At 36.7% G+C, this 10617-nt stretch overlaps 1 protein-coding gene across 14 annotated transcripts in view; it reads left to right on the top strand.

Moving 5' to 3' along the window:
• The window catches only part of SCLT1 (sodium channel and clathrin linker 1), a 220299-nt gene that overhangs the window by 1242 nt on the left and 208440 nt on the right, over window positions 1-10617 (top strand). For 13 of the 14 annotated variants that reach the window (XM_047449590.1, XM_017007717.3, NM_144643.4 and 10 more), the window contains exon 2: window positions 9925-9992. In XM_047449590.1, coding sequence (XP_047305546.1) covers window positions 9925-9992 — 68 coding nt within the window. Of the gene's footprint in view, window positions 1-9924; window positions 9993-10617 lie in introns of those variants that run through there. The other variant, XM_017007719.2, reaches the window with a different exon arrangement.

Below are 10617 nucleotides of genomic sequence, written 5' to 3'. Positions count from 1 at the left end.
GAGTGTAATATTGATGTAAATTGAATTGGAATATTTATATAGGGAAATGGCAAGTGCAGTTGAAGGCGTAGAAAGGGGCTGGATGGTGAAGGGCCCTGTCTTCTCTGTGCTAAGGAGTATGGACCATTGCATGGGTTATAGGAATTCAGTTGAGAGTGGCATGATCAAATTGTAGTTTAGAAGGCCCGGTCTGATTTTTACGGGGAATATGCATTATAGCAGAGTGCAGTTAGTTGTCTACTGTCATCATTCAGGTAAGAAGTAAACTAAGTTGGGCACAGGGAGACTGGAGATCAGGGGATTTGAGAGAAAGAGGTAGAGAGCAACTTAGTTTTTGCTTGAGCAACGGGGAAGTTAGGAAAAAGGTAGTAAGTTCCGTTTTGGTAGCATTATAGACCAGTGGTTAAGAACTCAGTCAGCCTCTGGATTTAGTCTGTCTGGGCTCACAGCCTACCTCTTTCCAGGTCTGTGACCTCGAGCAAGTTTCCTAGCTTTTCTGCACCTCAGTTTTCTCATTTATATAATGAGTATAAGAACACAAGAATCCTCTTGAAGTTGTGAGACTTAAATGAGATGATGAAAAAGCATTGAGCATAGTGTCTGGCACATATTAAGTGCATGGTATATGTTATCTAAAATAATTAATGACACTATAATGACACAATAACATTAGCATTATTTCTTAGGTTTGCAGTGGGAATATCCCCACCCCATAAGAACAGCTAACTGGCCACCGTAAGAGTAGTGTGGGACAGGAATTGGTTGATGAGGAGTTTGGCTAGAGTCAGGATAGTACTTGAGGTGGTCAGAAACTATTAATTTTATAAGAATGATCCAGCCAGAATTCTTAGATAAAACTGAGATCCAAATACCAGGGGAAAACAAATAAGACAACTGAAGCATAGTAACATTTTTTTAAAAATGAGTGGTATTTAATAGTTCCATGGAAGACAAGTGGAGTGCAAGAAGGAAATCTCAAGCAGAAGGAGCAGAAGAAGGAATGGTTCAAAGGCTTAAAATAACTGATTTTATTCAGGAAATCGGAGCATAGAATGGTAGCGTTTGCATGAAGAGATAAGAATGAGAGTTGAGTGTCTGTGTCGCTCTCCTTTTTTCTTTAACCGGATTTTGCATGCCATTTGAAGGTGGTGGGTTATTCCATTAAGTGACCCACCTAAATACCAGCCCAGATAAAGATAGATCACTTGCCTTCTTTCCACCTGCCTCTGACTTTTTCTACACTGATTTCTGTTGATCTTGATTGTCTCTTTGTTCCGTTTGGATTTGGGAGCCCAGGTCAAGACCATTTGTTTTGGTACTTCTCAACTCATGTTTTGGTACTTCTCAACTCATGTTTGGTACTTCTCAACTCTCATGTCCCCACATGACATTTCCTCTGATAATTACTATTTCAGCTTTACATATCATAACGACAGGCAGCTCCACACTCAACCAGGCTACTAGTAGAGTAAGCTTGTAGCATATTTGCTGTGCACCGTTCTTCCACCTTTGTCTGGGAAAGATCAGTTAGTTTTTAGGAACCTGTTCAAAGAGGTACTTGCATTATCAATCTAAGGAACTAAGAATTCATTCATTAGTGGGGTGTGAGACTCACTGGCAGAGTGGTGATGGACTTATTTTTTCTTTTCATTCTCTTAATAGTGTTGGAGCCAAACATTTTTAATTTTGATGAAATTTAATTCATCAATTTGTTCTTTTATGAATTGTGTTTTTGGTGTCATAAAAGAAATCATTGCCTAACCCAAGGCTGCAAAGATTTCTTCTATATTTTCTTCTAGGAGTTTTATAGTTTTAGGTTTTACATTTAGATCTATGGTTCATACAGTTAAATTTTATACAAGGGATGAGGTAAGGATCCAGGCCACTTTCTTGCATTGGATGCCCAAATGGAAAAACTACCCTTTCTCCATTGAATTACCTTTGCTCCTTTGCAGTTGTTTATATATGTATGGATCTATTAATGAACTCTATTCTTTTCCACTGATTTATTTGTCTGTCTGGACACCAGTACCCCACTGTCTTAATTATTGCAGCTTTATAGTAAGTTTTAAAATAAAATTGGTTCTTCTGTACATCATTGATGTATCTTTTTAAATTTTCTCAGCTATACTTTGTAGTTTTTAATATTTAGGTTTTGCACATCTTTTGTTAGATTTATGCCTATGTATTGAAATTTTTGATACTACTGTAAATGGTATTATTCTTTTACTTTCAGTTTCTGATTTTTCGTTGCTAGTATGTAGAAATAACATTTCTTTTTTATTATTATACTTTAAGTTCTGGGGTACATGTGCAGAACGTGCAGTTTTGTTACATAGGTATACTCATGCCATGGTGGTTTGCTGCACCCATCAACCCGTCACCTGCATTAGGTATTTCTCCTAATGCTATCCCTCCCTTAGTCCCCCACTCCCCAACAGGCCCCGGTGTGTGGTGTTCCCCTCCCTGTGTCCACGTGTTCTCCTTGTTCAGCTCCCACTTATGAGTGAGAATATGCGGTGTTTGGTGTTCTGTTCTTGTGATAGTTTGCTGAGAATGATGGTTTCCAGCTTCATCCATGTCCCAGCAAAGGACATGAACTTATATTTTTCTATGGCTGCATAATAGTCCATGGTGTATATGTGCCACATTTCCTTTATCCAGTCTATCATTGATGGACATTTGGGTTTGTTCCAAGTCTTTGCTGTTGTGAATAGTGCCGCATTAAACATACATGTGCATGTGTCTTTATGGTAGAATGATTTCTGATTATTTGGGTATATACCCAGTAATGGGATTGCTGGGTCAAATGGTATTTCTGGTTCTAGATCCTTGAGGAATCGCCACACTGTCTTCCACAATGGTTGAACTAATTTACACTCCCACCAACGGTGTAAAAGCAAAAGCATTCCTATTTCTCCACATCCTCTCCAGCATCTGTTGTTTCCTGACTTTTTGATGATTGCCATTCTAACTGGTGTGAGATGGTATCTCATTGTGGTTTTGATTTGCATTTCTCTAATAACCAGTGATGATGAGCATTTTTTCATGTGTTTGTTGGCTGCATAAATATATTCTTTTGAGAAGTGTTTGTTTATATCCTTTGCCCACTTTTTGATGGGATCGTTTGCTTTTCTCTTGTAAATTTGCTTAAGTTCTTTGTAGATTGTGGGTAGGATCTGACCTTTGTCAGATGGATAAATTGCAAAAATTTTCTTCCATTCTGTAGGTTGTCTGTTCATTCTGATGATGGTTTCTTTTGCTGTGTAGAAGCTCTTCAGTTTAATTAGACCCTATTTGTCAGTTTTGGCTTTTTTTGCCATTGCTTTTGGTGTTTTAGACATTAAGTCTTTGCCCATGCCTGTGTCCTGAATGGTATTGCCTAGGTTTTCTTCTAGGGTTTTTATAGTTTTAGGTCTTACATTTAAGTGTTTAATCCATCTTGAGTTGATTTTTGTATGAGGTGTAAGGAAAGGGTCCAGTTTCAGTTTTCTGCATATGGCTAGCCAGTTTTCCCAGCACCATTTATTAAATAGGGAATCTTTTCCCCATTGCTTGTTTGTGTCAGGTTTGTCAAAGATCAGATGGCTGTAGATGTGTGGTGAGAAATAACGTTCTTTAATATTCTGCTCTGCAGCCTTGCCAAACTCATTCATTAGCTCTAGTAGTTTTGTAGAGTCTGTCAGTAGTTTTATGTAGATAATCTTGTAATCTGAAAATAAAAAGTTTTATTTCTTTTCAATTTGGATGCCTTTCATTTCTTTTTCTCACCTTATTGCAGTGGCTAGAATCTCTGGTACAGTATTGAACAGAAGTGGTGGGAATACACATCCATATCCTGTTCCTGATCTTATGGGGAAGGCATTTGTCTTTCAGAATTAGGTATGATACTAGTTGTAGGTTTTTCATAGACGTTCTTATGTTGAGAATGTTCCTTTCTATTCTTAATTTGCTGAGAGTTTTTATCAAAATGGATGCTGGATTTTTAAAAATGCTGTTCTGCATCCATTGAGATTAAAAGATATTTTTTCATTTTTTGTTTGTTAATAGAGTAAATTACATTGATTAATTTCAAATGTTAAAACCACCTTGCCTTTCTGGGATAAATTCCACTTGCTCATGATGTATAATCCTTTTTCTATATTGTTGAATTTTATTTTATAAATGTTTGTTTAAAATTTTAGTGTGTTCAGCTTTTTTTTTTTCTTTTTGGGACGGGATCTTCCTCTATTGCCCAGGCTGGAGTGCAGTGGCACAATCACGGCTCTTTGCAGCCTCAACCTCCTGGGCTCAAGCGATCCTTCTGCCTCAGCCTCCTGAGAAGCTGGGACTACAGGCACATGCCACCATATCTGGCTAATTTTTTTTTCTTTTTGTAGAGATAGGGTCTCCCTATGTTTCCCAGGCTGGTCTTGAACTCCTGGGCTCAAGTGATCCTCTTGCCTCCCAAAGTGCTAGGATTATAGGCATGAGCTATCATGCCCAACCTATGAAGGTTTTTTGCTTTTCTTTTTTTTTCTTCCTTTTTTTTTTTTTTTTTTTAACTTGCGCAAGGGTCTCACTGTCACCCAGGCTGGAGTTAATGGTACACTAGTAGCTCACTACAACCTTGAACTCCTAGGCTGAAGCCCTCCACCTGCCTCACCCTCTTGAGTAGCTAGGACTACAGGCATGTGCCACTGCACCTGGCTAATATTTTTATTTTTTATTTTTTGTAGAAGCCGGGTCTCCCTTTGTCACCCAGGCTGGTCTTGAACTCCTGGCTTTAGGCAATCCTCCCACCTCAGCCTCTTAAAGTGCCTTTTTTTTTTTCCTTCCCAATATTTTTGTCTGGTTTTAGTATCAGGTAATGCCAGCCTCATAGAATTACTTGGAAAATATTTTGTACTCTTCAACTTTCTGTAAGAGTATGTATAAAATGATATTATTTCTTCCTTGAATATTTGATAGAATTCACCAGTGAAGCCAACTGGACCTGAAGTTTTCTTTGTGGAAAGGTTTTAAAATACAAACTTAATTTCTTTAATAAATAAAGAGCTATTCAGTACTCTGTATTGTACTCGAGAAGAACCTCTGCAGGTCTCACATTCCCTAGGGTTCTTTCTCTGTGCAGTCTTCTATCCTTTGTCCTGCCAATTCTAGTTCACTTAATCTCCACTACTTCTCAGCTCCACCTCTTAATAAGAGTCCAGTGGTCTCCACTTGCATTTCCTCCCCCCGTGTCATGGCCCTGGAAAGTCTCTTAAGTCATTAAGGTGGGGCAATCATAGGGCTTACCTCATTTGTTTCTTGTCTCTGATTATCATTGTCTGATGTCTAGTGTACTATAAGGTATTGATGATTTTTTTGCTTGCTTTTTCATGTGTGTCAGGCAGAAAAGTGGTCCATGTTATTTCTTCTTGAGTATAAGCAGAAGTCCTATTCAAGTTGCCCTACTTTTTGATGTCTTAAACTCAAGTATCTTACTCCTACTATAACTGTTCTTTGACCTCCTCATCCTTTGAGCCCTTCATTTTCTTTACCACCTTGACTGCTTCCCAGTTTGTTTTTACTGGTGTCTTTTACAGGCTGTAACCATTGCCCATTAGTCCTTCTGCGCTTGTCAGTAATCTTAATATGATTATACCCCTGCTTTTCTATAGCTGATGCCCAGTAACACCTCATGCCATGATTGGTTGGTTTGCCTTTACAGTTCTCATACCAAATGCTGTTTAGTACCTATAGATAGCTGAACCCTCTGGATAAGTGCCTTCACAAAGTCAAGGTTAACAGAGCTAGTAAGTGACTGAGCTGGGATTTGAACCCAGGCAGTCTAGTTTCAGTGTCTCTTTTCTTAACTGCTACACAAAAAGCATACTTGCAAGAAAGGAAAACTGTAAACCTGTTTCACTTATGCATGTTGGAACTAAAATCCAAAATAAAATATTAGTAAATTGAAACTAACAATGAATGTGTGTGTGTATATATATATATATATATATATACATACATACACCAGCATCTTCAGGTATCCAGGAAACGCAAATTAAACAAGCCAGATAAGTACTTGTAGAATGAAGGAAATAATAACATTTAAGTTACAGTAAAATTTTCTCCAGATTATAGTCAATCTATGAAGATTGAAAGTGTTTCCCTCATTATTAATACATAATTTACTTCTTATCCTATTTTAATTACTGAGGACACAGATCTAGTTTTTTTCTTAATTGAAAACTCTGTCAGGGAAAAAAAAAGAGGTTTGTATTGTGATTAATTTTTTGTTTTAAGTTTTTCTTTTTTTAAAATTTATCTTTTAAGTTCAGGGGTACATGTGCAGGTTTGTTATATAGGTAAACTTGTGTCATGGGCATTTGTTGTGCAGATTATTTTGTCACCCAGGTATTAAGCCTAATACCCATTAGTTGCTTGTCCTGATCCTCTCCCTCCTCCCACCCTTCACCCTCCAATAGGCCACCGTGTGTGTTGGTCCCCTCCATGTGTTCTCATCATTTACCTCCCACTTATAATTGAGAACATGCCGTACTTGGTTTTCTGTTCCTGCATTAGTTTGCTAAGGATAATGGTCTCCAGCTCCATCCATGTTCCTGCAAAGGAGATGATCTCGTTCTTCTTTATGGCTGCATAGTATTCCATGGTATACATGTACCACATTTTCTTTAGCCAGACCACCATTGATAGGCATTAAGGTTGATTTCATGTCTTTACTCTTGTGGATAGTGTTGCAATGGACATACATGCTCATGTGTCTTTGTGGTAGAATGATTTATATTCCTTTGGGTGTATACTCAGTAATGGGATTAAAGGGTCGAATGGTATTTCTGTCTTTAGGTGTTTGAGGAATCGCCACACTGTCTTCCACAATGGTTGAACTAATTTACATTCCCACCAAAATGTATAAATGTTCCTTTTTCTCCACAACTTCACCAGCATCTGTTATTTTTTGACTTTTTAATAATAGCCATTCTAACTGGTGTGAGGTAGTATCTCACTGTGGTTTTGATTTACATTTCTCTAATGATCAGTGATGTTGAGCTTTTTTTTGTATGCTTGCTGACCGCATATATGTCTTCTTTTAAAAGGTGTCTGTTCATGAGCTTTGCCCACTTTTTAATGGGATTTTTTTCTTGTAAATTTGTTCAAGTTCCTTATAGATGCTGACTATTAGACCTTTGTCAGATACACAGTTTGCAGAAATTTTCTCCCACTTTGCAGCATGTCTGTTCACTCTGTGGATAGTTTCCTTTGCTGTGCCAAAGCTCCTTATTTTAATTAGTTTCCATTTGTAATTTTTGCTTTTGTTGCAATTGCTTTTGGCATTTTTGTCATGAAACCTTTGCCTACTCCTGTGTCCAGATGGTGTTGCTTAGGTTGTCTTCCGGGGTTTTTATAGTTTGGGGTTTTACATTTAAGTCTTTAATTCGTCTTGAGTTATTATTTATATATTGTGTAAGCAAGGAGTCCAGTTTCAGTCTTTTTTCATATGGCTTGCCGGTTATCCGAGCACCATTTAAAGTAGGGAATTCTTTCCTCATTGCTTGTTTTTGTCAGGTTTGTTGAAGATCAGATAGTTGTAGGTATGTGGCCTTAATTCTGGGTTCACTATTATGTTCCATTGGCCTATGTGTCTGTTTTTTGCACCAGTACCATGCTGTTTTGGTTACTGTGGCCCTGTAGTGTAGTTCTAAGTTAGGAAACATGATGCCTCCAGGTGTGTTCTTTTTGCTTAGGATTGCTTTGGCTATTCAGTCTCTTTTTTGGTTTCATATGAATTTTAAAGTTTTTTCCAGAGAAACGTTTCATAGTTTTCTGTGTAGAGGTCTTAAACATCTTCTGTTGTATTTATTACTGGGCATTTATTTTTTTTTATGGTACTATAAATAGCATCTTTTACTGTTTTCTAACTTTATGCTGCCAGTATCTAGAAATATAATTAATTTTTATATATTGACCTTGTATCCAACAACTTTGTTAATCTTCATGATTGATTTTTAAGTATGTATCTGTGGTTTTTTTGGATTAATCACATATGCACTCATAACTATGAATAATGACAGTTGTTTCATCTTTTCCAGCCTTTGTGTCTTTTAGGTCTTTTACTTGCTTTACTGCATTAACTTAGACCTCCAATAGAGTGTTGAGTAAATGTCATAAGAATTTATCCTTATGTGATTCCTAATTCAAGGGAAAGTTTTCAACATTTTTACTCATGAGTATGATGTTTGTTGTGTATTTTACGTAAGCATTCATTATAATAACAGTGTTCCCTTCTAGTCTTACTTTGATAAGGCTTTATCATGAATATATCTTGAATTTCATCAGGTGCTTTTTTAAAATAACTTTTGAGATGATCATATTTCTTATCATTTTTTGTGAGTTTATTTTCAATTTCTTTATTTTCTGGGCTTATCTTTATTTACTCCACTTGGCTTTCTTTGGATTTAATTTGGTGCTGTTTTTCTAACTTCTTGGAATGCATTTGTAACTTCAGACTTTTTCTCTAGTATATGCAATTAAAGCTACAGATTTCTCTTTAAGCAAGTTTGGAGGTATCACATTTTCACTATTGTTCACTTCAAAATACTTTAAAATTTATTTTGTAATTCCTCCTGAGATCTTTCTTCTTTTTTTTTTCTGAGATAGAGTCTTGCTCTGTTGCCCAGGCTGGAGCGTAGTGCAATCATAGCTCACTGTAGCCTCAAAGTAGCCTCAAACTCCTAGGCTCCAGTGATTCTCCTACTTTGGCCTCCCAAAGCAGTGAGATTATAGGCATGAGCTACCATGCCTGGCCAAAAGTGATTTCTGAACTTCCAAACATATAGAGGATTTTCCTTTTTTTTTTTTTTTTTTGGTTCTTGATACTAACTTAATAGTGCTATTGTAAGATAACATACTGTCTTTGGTTTCAGTCCTTTGAACATTATTGAGACTTTCTTTTACCAGTGAATAATCAACATTAAATGTTCTGTGTGATCTTGAAAAGAACGTGTGATTGCAAATTTGTTGGGTACTATGTTGTATGTATGTTACTTTTCTTGATGTAAATAAAAGTATGGTCTTGTTATTTCTTTTTTTTCTTTTTCTTTTCTTCTTATTCTTTTTTTTTTTTTTTTTCAGAGTCTCACTCTGTCACCCAGGCTGGGGTGCAGTGGTGCGATCTTGGCTCACTGCAACTTCTGCCTCCCGGGTACAAGTTATTCTCCTGCCTCAGCCTCTCAAATAGCTGGGATTACAGGCGCATGCCACTACTCTTGGCTAATTTTGTAGTTTTAGTAGAGATGGGGTTTCACCATGTTGGCCAGGGTGGTCTCGAACTCCCGACCTCAAGTGATCCATCTGCCTCGGCCTCCCAAAGTGCTAGGATTACAGGCATGAGTCACCGGGCCTGGGCTGGCCTTGTTATTACCAAGACCTCTCACCTTTATTCTGGGTCTTCTTCCCCCATTGTCTCTTACCCACTCCTGTTTAATTTGGATTCTTCAGCCTGCAATTTCTCCTTAAGGTGGAGGTTTGTCCTGGAAGAGTTTCAATTGGTTTTAAGAATTCTAAAAAATATGACTATAGCTTATCTTCCCAATGCTTCTCAATTTTAGTAGTAGTAATAAGATGTGGAGAATATATTTTACTTTCATTAACCCGAAGAGCAAGCCAGCAGAGACTGAGATTTCATGTTTATGAAATCAGAAATGGTAGTTCTTTGCAGATGTTATTTTTTTCACTTTGGCAGTAATTAGTTGGCTTAGATATATAAAAGGGCCTATTTTCAAGTTTTAAAATGGTGTATTGAAACTGATGATTCATCTTATTTTGAGAAGCAGTGAAGACTAGCCGTTTTGCATGGGATACATCAAATAATTACTGTATTTCTAGTTTTAAAGAATTGACCATTACTCAATGAACTGAAATCTGTTTTCCCGCTTGTTTCAGATCGAAGACTAAATGAAGATTTTAGGCGGTATCAAATGGAAAGTTTTTCCAAATATTCATCTGTACAGGTATGTAAATTATAAATTCTACTTGGGAATATTCTCATGTGAAGTTGCCTACAGCACTTTGAAACTTGGCTTACAACTTTGATTCCTGTAATGGGAAAGCTTGTTTTTGCTTAATGAAAGTAAATCTTTTGACAATAGAAATTGCCCTTTTCCCCCCAACCAGAGTTGGAGCTTATATATTATATATGATATATAAAATGTCTGAGTTCTAAAATGGGAATTCATTCGAGTTCTGAAACATCCTAAAATTGTTTCTCAATATACCTCTAGTTCTGTGTTCTAATTCTCTGCATTCTCATAAATTATGACAGGAGCATAAACTAATGCAAATTGTAAATAATATATGGTTTTTTAAAAATATCTTTTTTCCTTGGTTGTCATATCTTCTTATTTAAATATTGTGTTTAAAAAATTATTTAGCCAGAAAGGTATAATTATTGGTGGACCTTGCATTACAGAATATTAAAAGGAAGGTAATGGCTCGTAGATTAGTGGTGACTCTCTATAGAAGCAAATAAGAGTGTTTTACTTTTACATAAATGCATTTTATAATTAGAACTTAATCTGGTTTGGATCTGTGTCCCCGCCCAAATCTCATGTGGAATTGTAATCTCCAGTGTTGGAG

This window comes from Homo sapiens, chromosome 4, assembly GCF_000001405.40.
Source record: "Homo sapiens chromosome 4, GRCh38.p14 Primary Assembly".
Taxonomy (NCBI): domain Eukaryota; kingdom Metazoa; phylum Chordata; class Mammalia; order Primates; family Hominidae; genus Homo; species Homo sapiens.
Note: the sequence above shows the minus strand (reverse complement) of the source record. Positions and strands in the feature narration are given on the sequence as shown.